This window comes from Homo sapiens, chromosome 6, assembly GCF_000001405.40.
Source record: "Homo sapiens chromosome 6, GRCh38.p14 Primary Assembly".
Taxonomy (NCBI): Eukaryota; Metazoa; Chordata; class Mammalia; order Primates; family Hominidae; genus Homo; species Homo sapiens.
The window spans coordinates 156,140,502-156,159,048 of record NC_000006.12 but is presented as its reverse complement, the minus strand read 5'-3'; the positions used below and the strand labels follow the sequence as shown (position 1 = coordinate 156,159,048).

The 18,547-nt window shown below is 42.2% G+C and overlaps 2 long non-coding RNA genes across 2 annotated transcripts in view; both read left to right on the top strand.

The window, feature by feature from the left end:
* Positions 1-18,547, top strand: part of LOC101928923 (uncharacterized) — a 487,547-nt gene that overhangs the window by 137,223 nt on the left and 331,777 nt on the right. The window lies entirely within an intron of this gene.
* On the top strand, positions 1,593-17,680 carry LOC124901441 (uncharacterized). The gene is made up of 2 exons (XR_007059826.1): positions 1,593-2,488; positions 11,125-17,680. It is a non-coding gene; the product is annotated as an uncharacterized LOC124901441 (long non-coding RNA).

The window sequence follows — 18,547 nt, the reverse complement described above, 5'->3', positions numbered from 1 at the left end:
GACGTGCTAGCCAATTAGGATTTCCTGTTAGTGGTGGTGACTGAAAGAAATGAAAAAAAGAAGGAATGTCTAACATTTAATTTTAAATTGTTTATTCATGTTGTTACTATTTAATTTCCTTCATCTCTCTAGTCCTTTCAAAGGAAAGAGGCCATGTTCCCTGTCTGGGTAGACAAGGGGTCAGTGAAAAGAGAACAGGTAGGAAAGTCATTCTACTTCTTGGAAGTAATATCCTTGGTTTGATTGTCCAAAACACCATCCTTGAATTCTCTTTGCTAGAAAGAGCTCCTGTATCAGCTGAGAAGGCCTCCATTTGAGCCAACACTATTCCCAATCAGCCTTGTCTGATCCCAGAATGGCTTTCTGAGAACAGGAAGGTTTTCAATTCTTCCTACCACACCAACCAGTCTCGGATAGGCTGTAGGACCTGGAACATCATAGCAAGTGATATTTGGGGTTCACATTGATTATAGTCTGCCACAAAGGGCTACAGAATCTTCCAAAGGCTGTGGTGCAAACATCTGCCTGCTTATTCCTTATTCTTGGGGCTGATCCTGGCCACCTGGAGTCTGCTGGTCACCAAGATCCCCAGCTTGGACAGACTAATTCCTGGACTCTGCTCTCCCTTTCCTGATATTTCTTCTTTATACTTTGGCTGCTTTCAACTCGAGGTTTTTGACCTACCTCCATCTTTGTCTCTAGAATAATAGGTGCCCATTCACTTTCCCATGATAAGTCTTTTGCCTTTGTTCACAGGGAGGGCATTCCCTACATTTCCAGTCTTAGCTTTTCCCAGAAGGACTAGCAGAGTCTCAATCCTAATCACTATTTAAAGTAGTACCCAAACCAGACTAGCACAACCCACCAAGCCCCAGCCCTCCCTCCTGAGCTACTACAGGTTCAACTGGTTGACTGGTCCCCTAGCACCTTGCAAAGAACATGCACTCAGTGTATATTTCTTAATAAGTGGATGAATGTTTTATTCTATTGGGGAGACAGAAGAAGAGTAACAAGAGAGACATTCTAGTAGAAAAGTAATATTAATGAGGCTAAATGTATTCATTTGTCTTTTTACCTAATAGACAATAAAAGATTGCCCTATTGGAAGAGAAGCTCAAGGCTAGATGAAATGCCAAAGGGTCTTTTGTAAGAAGTTTCCAGGTATCCTTAAGCTTGTGGTAGTCACCCCTGGAGTATCTTTTTTAAAGTTCAAAGATATCCATTATAGACGCAGGGGGAAAAGCACAAAAAGAAAAACAAAAACATTTAGAGTTACATTAGGCAGGATTTAGGTACATACAGAAGTTCGTTAGCGAGGTGCCTAACTTTTGTGCAGGTTTGTGTTTCTGTAAATAAATCACACTCGGAATTATCTACTTGGCAGAGAGGGGAGAGACCTGAGATTTAGAAACAAACAATCAAATGGAGAACCGAGGTTTGAGTTTGGTGCATTCTCTATAAATTATATAAATTATCTTAAGCAATCACCAGCCCCTTGAAGTTTTATTTGCCTCATCTGCATATTGAAAATAATAATTGTTGCCCTGCTTGCTTCTAGACTTTTTTTTTTTTTAGGATAGAGATGAGGAAAATAGTAACTAATTTTATACATATATATATATATATATATATATATATTTTAACAGAGCTGTTTTTAGCTAAAAATCAAGTGTGGTCTCTCCCCAAACCCAGGGAGTAGCTGAGATTCTCTGTGGAGGGAGAACCTACCGGAGGAGAATGTTAGGGCCTGTGCAGAAAATAGGATTGAAAGAAACATGGTCAATCTCATGTTTAGGAAAAATTCTTGTAAAGATTTTTGTTTCTACTTGACTAGGTCAATAAAGATAAGGCACTAAAGATAGGCAATCTAAATGCCATTTTACACATATGGTGGATGGATAACTCTGTGTCCTAATATTTCTGAACCTTAGTTACCTTATATGTAAAGTAAAAAAAAGTACCAATCCATACATCCATTTCCTTTTTGCCATCTCTTGTCGACTAGGCACTTTTCAGGATTTTCCAAGGAGATCATTGAAACTTTGTTTTGCTTTTCTGCAAAGATGTGTATATGAAGTTGTGTTTGCTGTCTGGCCTTATGAGAGACTCAGTGCTTTTCTGACACTAACATTCTGGGGCTCTTTGTCCAGTCCTTCCTCCTTGGTCTTCCATGGTTCTCTGAGATGCAGGTAATTGAATGCTTGAGCTGGGAAAAAGCTTTTGTTCTATGATGATTCTAAGTCTTACTCTCTCATTGCAAACACTAAAGTGTAGTTCTAAGCGCAAGTACAGTTTTCCTCATTTTTATTTATCTTTCCCAAGATTTTATAGCAAAGTTTTTGTTTTCTGCACCACCTCTACCCTGCTACCCCTCCTTAAGCCCCTACGCAGCTGAAAGCTGGAAGCTGAAACGTTTTCAACTTGAGCAGACAGGTTGAAGATGCTGCCAAACCATGTGGAAATACATTGGTATAGACTGGAACTTTGTGTAAGAAAAATTCACATTTTTAGAATCTTTACTATATTTGGCTTACCTGGGTTAAGCAATTGCATGTTTTCATGGGGAGAGGCCCAAGGCCTAGTAGCTTAATGTGCAAATCACAAGGCTGGGGCTCTGGAGGAAATCCTAGCCTTTGAGGAGTGGCAGCTGTGTAAAAACTCAACAGAGGAAGGACAAACTGTGTTCTCTCCTTCTCACCATTGCCCTCTGTCTTCCTCTTCTTCACTCTCAGCCTATGTGAAAAAATCAGATCCAGGCTGGGCACAGTGGCTCATGCCTGTAATCCCAGCACTTTGGGAGCCCAAGGCGGGCGGATCACGAGGTCAGGAGTTCGAGACCAGCCTGGCCAATATGGTGAAATGCTGTCTCTAGTAAAAATACAAAAAAAAAAAAAAAAAAAAATTAGCCAGGTGTGGTGGTGCTCACCTGTAGTCCCAGCTACTCGAGAGGATGAGGCAGAAGAATTGCTTGAACCCAGGAGGCGGAGGTTGCAGTGAGCCAAGATCATGCCACTGCACTTCAGCCTGGGCGACAGAGTGAGAGGCCATTTCAAAAAAAATCGGATCCATTTTCCTAAAGCAACTATCTTATCCCTAAGTTAATTTCAAACCTACATATCATCTTCCAGACCATATTTTTAATATTGACAATTTTATACTGACTTGGTAAAATTGGTGACAAAGATTATTTCATATTTTTGGTTCAAATATAATATAGTCAATGTCCAGTCAGTGTCAAGACAGTTTTCACCCAAATTATGAAGGCTAAGAGAAACATTCACCTCAAGCGGGAATGTCCCTTCTGCTTGGTGGTCATTTCTAGTTATCTTAGAGACCTTCAGAGTTCACACCTGAAGGACAAGTGAGGGCAACTTGGGCTTCTTTATTTCAATTTTACTGAATTTTGATCATTAATCAGATTAGATCTCTACATTTATGGCATACACTACACATACATGCACTCATATTTACCTATATGAATAATTGCAATAAATATATTTCTTCTCAAAGTAACAAAATTTTAACTAAAAAACAAATCTAACAAGCACTTAAATTGGGACTGATCATTCATATACAAAATGCTCCTTTTGTTTTTGTTTTTTGGCTTTAGAGAAGAACCAAATCAAGGATCTGTCAAACTCCTACCATATATTAGAAGTATGTCACATGTAATACAATGATCTAATATTAGATAGCAATGGATCTTATATAAGAACTGAAAAAAAGTTAGAATTGAAACAATGTCATGTGAACATGAGGGGGTTGGAAATATTTTTAAACGAATGTTTCTCATTGTTGCATGGGTAGTGAGAGTAACTGCCAAAATGTGGGCAAAACTGGAGAATTATGCAATGGGAGGAAAGAAATCAAAACATGCAATATAATTTCGACTCTATTGTTATCAGAATTTTTTTTGAATTAATAATAAAATTCAGCAGGTGGAATGAGTCAGTTGATGACTCAGGAAGGCCCATAGGAAACTTAAAACTGTTAAGCAGAACACTTCTTCCTTCACCACGAATTTCAGTTTTCTTCAAATGGCCTTTCAACAGAAAATTGCATCTGTAGGCTCTCCATCCCCCACCCCCACAACCCACATTTGACTTTGAGCCTTTATGAAAATGATAGATTGCCACTACAGATTGTTCGCATATTTTTTTTTCAGTTTTAGGAAAACAAATGAAACAAGTGTTTTGAAGATGTCTCCAGAGGTGCCCAGTACAAGGGGGTGGGAATGGAGACGTAAGTGAGGAAATGGTCTGTTTTGTGACTTGGAATAAGCAGAGTACTCCTAGTTCTGGCCTTGACTCCCACCTGTATCCTTGAAATGGTTTTCTAACTTGTCTCCCTGGTAGAATCTCTCCAGTGTTTCCATGACACTGCTGGAGGAGTGATCTTTCTGAATCACAGTGGTGATCATGATGATTTTCTGATGCGAATTAGGCAGTATCTCCCCCTGCGGCCACCCTACGTCCTTCCACTGTGAGCTTCTTTCATCTACTTTTTGGCTCTGTGAAACCCCTGCACCCGAGTGCACATTTGTCTCTCTCTTAAGGATGTCGACTCCATGTGGATGCTGACTTTGTTTTTCACTTATCTCTGCCTTTTCTTTCTTTTTGTTTTTTTTTTTTTGAGACGGAGTCTCGCTCTGTCGCGCAGGCTGGAGTGCAGTGGTGCGATCTGGGCTCACTGCAAACTCCGTCTCCCGGGTTCACACCATTCTCCTGCCTCAGCCTCCCACTGGGACTACAGGCGCCCGCCACCACGCCCAGCTAATTTTTTGTATTTCTAGTAGAGATAAGGTTTCACCGTGTTAGCCAGGATGGTCTCGATCTCCTGACCTCGTGATACACCCGCCTCGGCCTCCCAAAGTGCTGGGCACTTATCTCTGCTTTCAAATGTTGCCTCCTCCTGGAGGCCTCCCCCATCTCATGCCTTGCGTGTTGTCCATTGTATCTTCTCCTCTGTTCTCAGAGGATTTGGTCTCTGCCTCACTTAGCACTTCATAGTGCTCTGTCATGATTCACATGTTTTCTCCACTGTGTGTTCCCATCATAGTTGACTGAACCCTTCATATTTGGTGACCTTAATAGTCCCTTACAACATCATATTCCTTACTAGGTTTCAGAGGACAGCGTGCGCTAACAGCATGAACATAGATTTTTCTGGTTGACCTTTGTATTCCTGACTGAGTCTTGTCCTGATATTTCTTGGACCTGTGGCAATGCCTTCTTTTTGAGGAAGTCCCCTCATCACCAGTCTTCCTGCCGATACTCTCATGGAGACAGTGCCATTGCTTAGGGTGCTATATCCTGGGGCTTCCAATCTTCAAGGTCCTCACATGTTTGCACTATCCTGAGTTACATGTGCCAGAAGCTTCCTGTGTTCTGTGTAGCTATAAGGACAATGCCTTTTTCTTCTCAGGATTCACCATTGGTCCCCAGGGAGGGACAGGCCGAGAAGCAGGTAGGCAAGAGACTGAGGCAGATCACCATCAACTGGTTTTTCAAATTCAGTCACGGTGTGTATCCAGTCTCAATCTCAGCTGCAATACCCTGGTACCTTTCTCTTTCCTTTCATCACTTAGGCAGTCACTAACGTTTAGTAGGTGCTGTCTGAAACTTCAGAACGCTCTGGGACTCTCTGACGAAGGCCTTTGTGTTCCTGCAAACCTCCCTCTTGTCCCTGACCAGTTTGGTCACTGTTGTTTGGTACCCAACCCTGCCCTATTTTTCTCTAGGCTGGTCAGGCTCTGACGCCTTGTAGCTGAATTCCCAGGCTGAGCCACACTTCTGGTACACTTAACTGAAAGCCTGGAGAGAACCTACAAAAAATATTACAAAGCAGGGAACAAAAATCTTAAAACTGGACACTGAAAATGGACGCCTTATAAGAGCATCTCAGAATTTCAAATTCAACTGCCTCTGAGGCCCCCAGAGAATACAATATTCTACTCTAAATAAAAACCACATACGTCATGGTGCCTTTTTTTCTTTTCTTTTCTTTTCTTTTTGAGATGGGGTCTTGCTTTGTTGCCCAGGCTGGAGTGCAGTGGCACAATCTCAGCTCATTGCAACCTCCGCCTCCTGGGCTCAAGTGATTCTCCTGCCTCAGCCTCCCGAGTAGCTGGGATTACAGATGCCAACCACCATGCCTGGCTAATTTTTTTATTTTTAGCAGAGATGGGGTTTTACTATGTTGGCCAGGCTGGTCTTGAACTCCTGACCTCAGGTGATCCACCCGCCTCGGCCTCCCAAAGTGCTGGAATTACAGGCGTGAACCACCGCACCCGGCCCATTGTGCCTTTTATTAACATTATTAAAATATAGCTCTTTATTGACACCTCAGCTCTCTGTACCAGGAAAGAATGTCTACTTTATTTTGGTAAAATTGAAGGGAATCTCTAAAATATTCCCATCTGGAACACAAGGATATTGTGTTTTCAAATCTCAATCTCCTTTTAAGAAGATATACTTTTAGTTGTCGAATTTTTCTTACTACTGGGGGATTTATACTCAAATTACTGGTGGCACACTCAATAGCCTGATTGCAATGATTTTCAGTGCGTGATGGACACCATATTTGAGAGGTGTTGATCTGAAAGGAAGTTAGAGACGTCATACCTATTACCACGATGCATAATTTGAAAGTGGAGTGGAAAGATCTAGATAGTAGAACAATAGATAACCTTAGTAATAATCTTATCCTTAGATACCGCTAGACTTCTATGAAAATTTGTCAATACCATTCCACTCTCGCTTTTCTGAAAAACTTGGTGTTTCGGACTTCAGCATTTTTCTGATTTTATAATTTATGTCACCTTTCTAGTACAGCGTGGCAGCACTCCCTAGTAGACCACTTAATTGTGATATTTCACAATTGCCAATCAGGGATCGTGGCCAATGGCAGGAAAGCAAAAGTATCCACAGCAGGTTTTGAAAAACAGTCATGAGAGACAGCTGGCATGCACCTTTGCTCTCTTCCTCTCCATCACTGCCTCTGACTTGCTGCCTTGAAGATGGATTTAGCCATCTTGGATTCTGAAGGTGAGGCATGAGGAAGGTGAGCTGGAAAGACCCTGGGTGCTAAATAAGCCCAGACAGCTCACCTCTGGGCCTCATTCACATGACAGAGAAAAAAACTTTCTATCTTGTTTAAGCCACTGTTTTCAATCTATTTTTTTTCCTCTGTCACACATAGCCAAACCAAACCCTAAATGATTCAGGTATTATGGAGAATGAAGATCCTAGATTCGGTAAGATTTTTTTTTTTTTTTTTTTTTTTTTTTGAGACAGAGTCTTGCTCTGTCGCCCAGGCTGGAGTGCAGTGGTGCGATCTCAGCTCACTGCAAGCTCCGCCTCCCGGGTTCACGCCATTCTCCTGCCTCAGCCTCCCCAGTAGCTAGGACTACGGGCACCCGCCACCATGCCTGGCTAATTGTTTTTGTATTTTTTTTAGTAGAGATGGGGTTTCACTGTGTTAGCCAGGATGGTCTCGATCTCCTGACCTTGTGATCCGCCCGCCTCGGCCTCCCAGAGTGCTGGGATTACAGGCATGAGCCACCGCGCCCGGCCTCGGTAAGATTTTTAATTACTGCACTGACCTAGTCAGTCGATGTCTCAATTTGTGTATGAGAAAGCCACATATAAATGTATTATATTTTAGTGTGCACTGTGCAGCTGATTAGATTTTCTGCATGAAAATATGAAAGTACTACAACAGAATTCAAAATAAAGTAGAATTTATGAGCTTGGGGTAGATCCTCTTAACTTTCCTCCTTTATGTTTGGAATAATTTTTTTTTAAGTTTACACAAAATTATCTCATCATGGGAGAGGAAACTTCTTCCTCATCCCAATAGTAAGTTTAACAAGTACCGTAGTTTGTTTTGCCTCAATATTCCTGATTCACATAGCACAGTGTTTAATATTGACCAAAAGATGCCTTCAGCTCACATCAGGCAAAGGAAGTGGTTACCTGATGCTGTGGTCTGTAAGTCTGTTTCTCCCCTGGATTCATATATTGAAACCTAATCTTCAATATGATGATATTAGGAGGTGAGGCCTTTTGGAGGTGGTTAGGTCATGAGGGTCGAGCTCTCATAGAAGGAATTGGTGTCCTTATAAATGAAGCTCCAGAGAGCTCCCTCACCCCTTCCACCATGTGAGAATACAGCCAGAAGGCATCATCTATGAAGCAGAAAGGGGGACCTCACCAGACACCAAATCTGCCAGCACCTTGATCTTAGACTTCTCGGCCTCCAAAACTGTGAGAAATAAATTTCTGTTGCTTATAAGCCACCCAGTCTATGGTATTTTGTGATAGCAGCTGCAATAAACGAAGATGCCTGACTACATTGACTAAAGAGAAGATAAAACCTAATCTTAGAAAAGTTTCTTCTCATTTATTTAGGGCTTGATTCTTCCTGTACCTTGGCTGTATTCCAATGGCAAATCAGGACTTTTCTGTGTATCTAAACACTGGCTGCCTATAGAGCAGGAATTGGTCCCTCAGAACAACTGTTTCCACACTGACTTGTGGGAATCTTTTTGAGTGTTTTGAGAGTTCAAGGGTTGGCAGAGCCTGGGATGGCAGGACTCTAAAGAGCTCTGAGTCAGGATATGCCTGTGCTGGTATTGGTCATTCATTTGAATGGGTTTTCTGACTATATTATTAGCAAAATATTTTCTCTCCAGCAAAGGCTCAAATTACATTGCAATCTTATTTTTTTTTTAAACGGTGTCTCACTCTGTCGCCCAGGCTGGAGTGCAATGGTGTGATCTCAGCTCATTGCAACCTCCGCCACCTCCTGGGTTCAAGTGATTCTCCTGCCTCGGCCTCCGTAGTAGCTGGGATTACAGGTGGCCACCACCACACCCAGCTAATTTTTTTTTTTTTTTTCATTTTTCTTAGTAGAGACGGGGTTTCACCATGTTGGCCAGGCTGGTCTCAAACTCCTGACCTTGTGATCTGCCCGCCTCAGCCTCCCAAAGTGCTGGGATTACAGGCATGAGCCACCGCACCCCACCTGCAGCCTTATTTTATAATTAACATATATGCTCTTTTTACAGGTTTCCTTGACTAGGGATTAAGATGGTTAATTTGTGGCTCTCATGAGATACAAGCAGTGTATAATAATTATTATTTTTTCCATGGGACTACTCCCCTAAGTTTGCTCATCTCCAGTGCAGATATTTGCCTGTTTTCACTGTGGCCTGGACAAATGAGTATGAAGGCATTTGTGCAGAGGTTTTCAAACTATGTTCTTAGATCTTGTAGGATCCCACAGAGGTGTCTCAAGCTTTGGAGAAGAGAGTAAGATGGTTCTTGATCCTCTTACCGGCTTGCTTTACTCACAGGTGGAGACTGGTGAGATGGGAGGAGGAGGCAAAATTTAAGGAAATTCAATCAGACTATCATTTTCCTATACAACCATTAGGTGCCTACACATCTGTTATTTTATTTTATTTTATTTTTGAGACGGAGTCTTGCCCTGTCACCCAGACTGGAGTGCAATGGCATGATCTCGGCTCACTGCAACCTCCGCCTCCTGGGTTTAAGCAATTCTCCTGCCTCGGTCTCCTGAGTAGCTGGGATTACAGGTGTGCACCACCAGGCCTGGCTAATTTTTTGTACCTTTAGTAGAGATGGGGGTGGGGGGTTTCACCATGTTGGCCAGGCTGGTCTCGAACTCCTGACCTCGTGATCCACCCTCCTCAGCCTCCCAAAGTGGTGGCATTACAGGCATGCGCCACCGCACCTGGCCAGTTTATTCTTTTAACCTCAAAAATGCATGAGCAAAGGTGAAGGAAATAGCACTAATGACATTGACAGGTGAGAAAACTGAGGGTAAGTGGATTTTAGAACGTCACCTCATCAGTTAATGGTGTCTCTTGGGTCTGAGTCTTAAGATTTTTCCACCAAGTTGAATGAGGACAGAGCTACTTCATGATTGTCTATGTAGACATTGCCACCACAATAACACCTTGTGAGAGAGCTAATCAAGGCAACTTGCTTTTGGCCCTGTTCAATTCTAGGCTGTGTTATCCTTTACTATAAAGCACATTGACCCACCATGAATGGAGGCCTTAAGATTGACCTCCCTTCATTCCACCCTCCGGTATTGATGGAGCTCCTGAGTTAACACAGTCCAATGGGGAAAACAGACGAACAATTAAGATGGAATGTCAAGAGTGCCACAAGGGAGATGTGAGTCGTATGCAAGAAAGCGAGTGGGGGGAACACGTAACAGCTCTGGTTCAGGAATCTGATAAGGTTTCGTAGAGAAGACAGCATTTCAGTGGGCTTGGTGGAGATGGGCAGGAGTTTGTCGGGCACAGAAAAGAGCAAATGGCATCCAGGCAGGCTCATTACATACAAAAGCATCTTCATGGGAAGGCACGTGGCACGTTTGGAATCAGTAGGAATCCATCACAGGTAGAGCCAAAGTAAGTTGAGAGAAGAGGCAGATGAGACTTAAGCAAGTCACTTGAGAGAAGTGGCACATCTTCAGTTTCATATATTTAAGATTGTAACATCTGGGAGAAGAATCAAAGTGAAAATGTCACCTATGGGTATGAAATTAGGTCCATTTATTTATTTATTTAGACAAGAGTCTCGCTCTATTGCCCAGGCTGGAGTGCAGTAGTGAGATCTCACTGCAACCTCTGCCTCCTGGCTTCAAGTCACTCTCATGCTTCAGTCTCCCGTGTAGCTGGGATTGCAGGTATGCACCACCATGCCTGGCTAATTTTTGTAATTTTTTTTTTTTATTAGAGATGGGGTTTTGCTATGTTGGCCAGGCTGGTCTCGAACTCCTGACCTCAGGTGATCCACATGCCTCGGCCTCCCAAACTGCTGGGCGTGAGCCACCATGCCTGGCCTTGAGTCCTTTTAGTGTCTCTTCCTGTCTCTTGGGTTTTTGAGTGAACCTGCAGCACCTCTTCATTCCCGGGCCCTTCCTTTTCTCCCACAACCTCCCCTCCCTCTCTTTTGCACCCTGCAGGTGCATGCATACATTGCCTCCTCTTTTCCTTCTCCCTGCTTTTCTGACGAAAGTTCTGGTCCTTCTGTTGAGAGCTGGCTCCTTGGATATAGCACAGATACCTACTTATTTGTGTTTCAGTTCCCTTGCCTGCCAAAATCTCAGATGGAGCTTTAGGACTCATGGAAGACCTTCCTCAAGGGGGACTTGAAGTGCTCTGGGAAAAATATGCGAGTGTGACCCTTTCCAGGGGGCAGCACGAGGATGGCCAAACCCGCTACTCTCCCTGGGGCTGGGTAAGGAGATCCGGCTGCAAGTTTCTGAAAAAATTTTAAAAAGGCTGTTAATTTCTGAAACTAGAAAATATACTTGACTCCTGGACCCAGAAAATACTCTTCCAAGTTGCAAAAAAACAATCATTCTTTTTAAATGGGGTAACATTTCTGGAATACATCGTTCCCAAAATAAGATCCTCCAATTTGGAAAAATCTAGCTGAAATAAATGAAAATAACAGATGGAAGAGAAATAACAGAAGTTATCCAAAGAACAGCAAGAGATATGAAGTGGGGAATCATCTGTCTAGAAAATGGTACTCAGTTGTACTTTTGAAATTAAAGGTACATTGGCTTCTGAAGAGATTGCAATTTTTCTCTTGACAGTTCCCCCTTACACATTATGTCCTTTCTGGGCCAAGGTTAGCACGTAAGAGGTATAGTTTTCTTTTCTATTCCTGCTTCTCCCATTTGTGCAGTTTCCATCTGTTCAAAGGTGTTAAGATCAACTGTTCTGGTGTCCTGGATAAAGGTTTGGGCTCTTGGCAGAGTGCTGGATAAATACAGAGTCATGCTATTAGCATAGGGATGTTTAATAACGATTGTTTATGTTCTCTTAGCCTTGTCTGAGAGCAACTGTGGGCAACCCGGGCCCCTTGGCAGTCTGCTGAGTGCACCTGACAGCAAGGCTGAGCCTGGTGCTGCTCACCTGCTGCCATGGGAGCCCCCCGCAGCCAGTCACCGTCTCGCCTTCCTGCAGAGCGCCTCCCACAGTCCTCGTTTGGAAGAACACAGTTTTAGTACTTCATTGACAATGGAAACCATTTGGGTTACATAATTCACTGTTCCATTTCTGTGCAGCTTTTTTTGTTAACCATGAGAGCTTGGTATTTTGCTGACTTTCTGTGCTTCCTTCATCCTTCCTGACCTCCCTTCTTACTGGTTCCATGGCTGTTCTTCAGGGGTCCACCCTCTGCAAGACAGTAGCTTAGGGTTTTTGTTCCTGGCTGCATCAGCACCTGTGTAGCTGCTTATCCTTTGCTCAGGTCGTCGAGAGGTGTTTTTTCAGAGAAAGAGATGGACGGTCTGGCCAGACCATTTAAGTTTTTGCATTGGGTTTCTTTCTGTCTCCAATCCCCACCCTATTTGACTAGTCTAGTGAACTGAACTCTCACCTTGCAGAGCTGGTCATGAGCCGCTGGCATTTTCCTCTTCTCTACAGTGACCCGGTTCACCCTCCTCTTCCCCAGCTCTCCATATTCCTCCAGAGCTAAAGGCACAAGTCAGGCAGAAGGTATTCCTGCCCTACGTCTTATCAAATGTCTCTGCAGAACTTAGGCAGAAGGCATTCCTGGCCCTTACATCAAGTGTCTCTGCAGAAGGAAAAGAGGAGAGAGAGAAGGCAGAGAAAAGAGGAAAAAAGAGGACAGAATGGATCACCTCACCAGCCCAGAATTTCCTTTAAGAACTTACCCTTTGATGATTCCTAGATTTAGCATGTCCTACAAAAAGTCCTGTCACACTTGTCAGTCCTGGAGGAGACGAATTTGCATGTAAGCTCCGCTGTGTCCTGGATAAAGTTCCTGGGAAGACGGGCTGAAAGTAGCCAGGATGAAGCTGACCTTGCCATTTCCTCATTTTCCATTTCATTGCAGTTTTAAAAAATGAGCGTTAAGTAACCTCAGTGAAATTTTTAAACAGGGCACTGTAGTATCTCCCTAAGAGTGTCAGTCACTGTAAGCAGTGGCAGAGTGAGAGCCAGGGAGGGCCCAAAAACCCAGACTACAGATCTTCTCATTTTTTCCCAAGCCCTCTTTTCACATTTTTATAAAGTCTCAGAGCACGAAGTGCTTAGGGGAACATTCTAGCTCCCCAGTGTCAAAGGAGGAGCCTGCGGTCTGCGTTTACCAGTTAATGGCGGAGGAGTAGGAGATGCTGGCTCTCGGCAAGACTCCTTCTCTTCCTGCTGTGCTCCTCACTGTCTTATGGAAGCAGGTGGTGGCTGTGGGATGAGAAGGGCAAGGAGGAGGTGCTGTTAATAAAACCAACTGGGGAGTGAAGTGGAGTGGAGTGAAGAAGAACGAGAGGCACAGTTAACTTCCCACTGGAAACTCCCAAGCAAGGAGTCTGTAGGTTGTAGAATGAGTTTGGCTGCAAGTGGGAATGCAAGGCCAAAGTGGTACATCTGCTTTCCATGAGAGCATCCCAGCTCATTGCTTTGCTTTTTTCCCCTTCCCTCTGCTAGGAAGGAGAGTGTTCTTTCTTCATAGTGTGCATCTTTGGAATGTAACACCATTCTTTGTCTTCTGCGGGAACATAAACCTGACAAAGACAGTGAGGCAGGGGAATAAGTCTTTTTATGAAATGAGATAAAAGAGATTTTTGAAGAAAAGAAAATCTGTATCATTCTGTTTGAGGAAAACCTTTTGCTTGAATCCATCATTTCTTGTTTTCCACATAATTTTTTGGGGTGTCTTAATTAGCTGGAACATCTGACACCATCGGACAGTTATTTCCCTCAAATTGTTAGCAGATCTACCCAGTAGAGGTCATACTCCTCTCAGGTTGTACTGTAGAATCTAGGTCATGACTCCTAGACTTTTTCAAGAGAGGTACGTGCACTGTGCCCCTTGCTCCCAGTCTCAGCCTCTTGATCCTTGTATTAGTCTGTTCTCATGCTGCTAATAAAGACATACCCAAGACTGGGTAATTTATAAAGGAAAGTGGTTTAATTGACTCACAGTTCTGCAGGGCTGGGGAGGCCTCAGGAAACTTACAATCATGGTGGAAGGGAAAGCAAACATGTCCTTCTTCACATGGTGGCAGGAAGGAGAAGTGCTGAGTAAAAGGGGAAAAGCCTCTAATAAAACCATCAGATCTTGTGAGAACTCACTCACTATCACAAGAACAGTATGAGGGTAACTGCTCCCATACATAAATTACCTCTTGCTGGGCCCCTCCTGCAACACGTGGGGATTATTGGAGCTACAATTCAAGATGAGATTTGGGTGGGGACACAGCCAAACCATATTAATCCTTCACTCTTGTATCCCTGCTTCTGCCATCACAACTGCTCCTGCAGCAGTCACCACTGGTCTCTCAATTGCAAAGTGTCTCAGTGCTTACCCTGCTGAGCTCCCTACAGCACTGCCACACCTCCTTAAAACTCTTTTCCCTTGTCTTCTGAGACCTTGTTCAGAATTGATACTGTTTCTACCTCTTTTTCAAAGCATCTCTCTGTTCTCTACCTCCTGTCCTGGAAAGTCAGATATCTCCCATGGTTTTCTCTTTTTTTCCCCTTCACCCCCCTGGAAATTCCTTACATCCTTGATCTCATCACTTGCCTTTCCATTTCCAGAGCTGTCTCCTCTCCTGTGCTGTTGAGCCCTTCCATCCTACCTGCCTGATGAGCATCTCTAACAGATTGTCTTAGAAGCAACTCAAATTCAATATTTTTGGCTATACTTGCCTACTTTTCTCCCCAACCGGTCACCCCTCTGTGTTTCCTATTTCCAAGGCACCCAGGACCATCATCAAGTTTACTTTTAATCAATCTTCTTTCCATTCCATTTCTTTTATCACCTTAGCTAAAATTGCTAACTCTTGTCCAGATCATTGTATCAATCCAGCTGACATTCTTTTATCCGTGTTCCTCCCTACTCAAGCATCATCATAATTCACATTACAGATAGGTCTTCCAGAATCATAGCTCCTATGGTGCCATTCATCCTATTCAACCACCTTCTATTGTGGCTTTTTGCTAATTACCAAGTTAATTTTTTTTTGCCTTGGCTTTTAACATTCTCAGTGATCTGGTCCTAGTCCACATTTTCAGCTTTATCTCCTACCACTCAGTAGAAAATGGAATCTTGTGATATTTCCTTTCTATGCTTTATATTTTTCTGCTAACTCATTCTATTCATTCTATTATCTTTGCATTTACCCAAAACATTGTATTCTCCAATCCCCACTCTTCTTTAGGGGTTCTAACTCTTTCATGATTAACTCATCCACCGTTTTATTGTGGAACATCCATTGTGGTTTATACTGATCACCTTTTGGCATTATAACTCTTTAACTTCCTTTAAAACAATGGTGTGCAGGTTGTTTCTCCTACCAAACTCCTAAGAAATAGGAAAACTTGTCTTAGGCATTTAAAAGATTTCCTCCAGCATGTAACAAGAAGCCTGCCTTGCATAGTGGGTGCTCTGTTTGTCAGAGAAATAGAATTCATCTTGATATATCTTATACTTGGTTAACAATCAGAAGTACCTTTATTTCCCTCTCTTTCACTCCTCCTCCTTCCCCTGCCCCATTTATATATAAAACACAGACTGCTACCATATGGTGTCTTTCTAATCACATTCTTGTATGAGAAGAAGAGATATATTATTACAGACTACTGATCCTTTAGCTGTATAAAATGACAATTCTAACTTAAGAGCAGATAGGTGATTTAAAGTTTTATAGTTTCCATGTTATTCTGTTGGGCTTTTAAATCTCCTTTACCAGTAAACTGAATGATGGACGCATGCCATAATGATCACATTAATTTAACTTTACAAAGTTTTTAATATGTGACACCCTTTAACAAACTGAAAAATAAAAATCCATGGTGGGCAGGTAAGTATTGTTCTTGAAGAGACATTACTTTATCCTTACTTCAGTAGAATCAATGTCATTGTGGCAGGAAAAAATTGTCATTTAGTTAATGAATAAAGAATAAAAATGAGAGAAGCCAAGAGACAAATTATTCTAAATAATGAGTATATGACAGATTTGTGGGTGGCCAAGGTGGAGCAAGCCAACTATTTCTTATCTAACCCATTGGTTAAAACTCAAACCTCTGGAAAGAATACATAAGACAACTATTTGAAGACTTAAAAAGTAAACAATAAGAGGTAAATACAGACAGGAAGTCAAAGCTTGAAGAATAACCATGTCTTAGTCAGTTTGGGTTGCTATAATGGAATAGCATAGGTGGGGTTGCTAAACCACAAACTTATTTCTCACAGTTCTGGAGACTGGGAAGTCCAAGATCAAGGCACCAGCAGATTGATGTCTGGTGAGGGCACACTTCCTGCTTTGCAGATGGCTACTTTCTTGTTATATCCTCATATAGGGGGAGATAGAAAGAAAGAGGGCAGGGGGAGAGAGAGAGAGAGAAAGCGGGGGGAGGGGGAGGAAGGAAGCTGTCATGTCTCCTCTTATAAGGACTTTAATCCCGTTCTAGAAGACTCCACCTCCATGACCTACTTACCTTTCAAAGACTCCACCTCTGAATACCATTGCATTGTGGGGGTTAATATTTCAACACATGAATTTTCCAGGAGCACAAACACTCAGTTCATAACAAGCTAGTACTAGTAAGTTTTCTGTTCATTCTCCTCCTCTATGTCTCAGCTTTGATTCATGGAAAACCAACAACACTCTGAGAGGTGAAACTGTGCCACAGGTGTGGAGAGCAAAACCCAAAAGAAAGCCATCTTTCCAATCAGATGACCAGCAAAAATAAGTCACTGAAAGAGAATATGAAATGAAATCCCTGTTTTTTTTTCTGTTTGTTTCTCTTTTTCCTTTCTTGGCATTGCCTGAGGCCAGCCCCAGTCATGGTGATGTATTGCCTAGATATGGTGGTGGTGGGGTATACAAATCCCAAGAGCTAATCCATATCTGTGGTCAGAGGAATGGGAAAAAGGGATCCAAGTAGCCTGAATAGTGTGCAGGAATCTTTTATTTATTCTGTTATATTCTTACCCCTGTATCCCAAGTGTGGCCCCCATTGCACAGAACAGTGCAAGAGCACTGGGCCTAAAATCCAAAAAGAAGCTCATCTTTCTGGCCAGAAGAACTGGTAAAATAGTCTCTAACAGCCAAAGAGTGGCAGGATCTTTGAGAAGACATAGCTAGAGAAGGGTACACTCTAATTATGGTACATAGACCAACACAAGTCCCGAGATCCCACCTGAGCTAAATGTGTAGAACATACTCAAAGAAAAATAGCATTTTACAAAAATAGCTTTGTTTTGTAAATTGACTGCCAAACAAACCAATCAAAAAAGAACATTGTTTGGAGGATTTTAACAGGATACAGAGTCTCACTACATTATATTCAGTATGTCTCACATTTAATTTCATACATCTATAATACAATTCAAAAATCACTCAACATACAAATAACCAGAAAATTTAAGCAATTCTCAAGGAAAAGGACAATCAGTGACCCCGAAGCCAAGAAGACCCAGATGTTGGAATAATCAAATAAAGATTTTAAAGCAGCTTTAATGACCATGTGCCATAAAGTAAAGGCAAGCACTCTTGAAATGAATGAAAAGATACAAACTCTCAGCAGAAAAAGAGGAACAATTGAAAAGTAACTAAACGGAACTGTAGAATAAAAGTATATAATATCATAAGTAAAAAAGTATTATCTGGCCTCAATGGAATGATGGCGATATCTTAAAAAAATAAACAAACATAATGATAGAGTCAAATGATCTAATCTGAAGTACAGAGAGAAAAAAATAGAAAAGAAACCAAACACAGGCTCAGGTATATGTGGGAAAATATCAAAACCTCTAACATTTAAATTATTGAAGTACCTGAAGGAAAGTGAAAGGAGTGCAAAAAGAGTGCCAGAAAAAATATTTGAAATAATCATAATAGAAAATTTCCAAATTAGTTGAGGATACAAATTTACAGATTCAAGAAGCTCAATACACATCAATGAAGTAGAGGCCCAGACACGTCGTAATCAAACTGCGGAATACCAAAGATTTAAAAATGAATCTAGAAAGTAGCCAGAGGAAAAAAAGACACATTACTTACAGGGGAAAACTGCAGATCTGTTGTCAGAAAACATGGAAGTCAGGCCGGGTGCAGTGGCTCACACCTGTAATCCCAGTACTTTGGGAGGCTGAAGTGGGCAGATCAGTTGAGGTCAGGAGTTCAAGACCAGCCTGGCCAACATGGTGAAACCCCGTCTCTACTAAAAATACAAAAATTAGCCGGGCATGGTGGTGCACACCTGTAGTCCCAGCTACTTGGGAGGCTGATGAAGGAGAATCGCTTGAGCCCAGGAGGTGGTGGTTGCACAAGATCACGCCACTGCACTCCAGCCTGGAAGACAGAGCAAGACTCTATCTCAAGGAGAAAAAAAAAAAAAAAAAGAAAAAAAAAAGAAAACATGAAACTCAGAAGACAGTGGAACACCACCTTTAAAGTAGAAACAAAATGAACTTTCAACCCAGAATGTTATATTCAGGAAAACTCTTTTATAAATGAAGGTGAA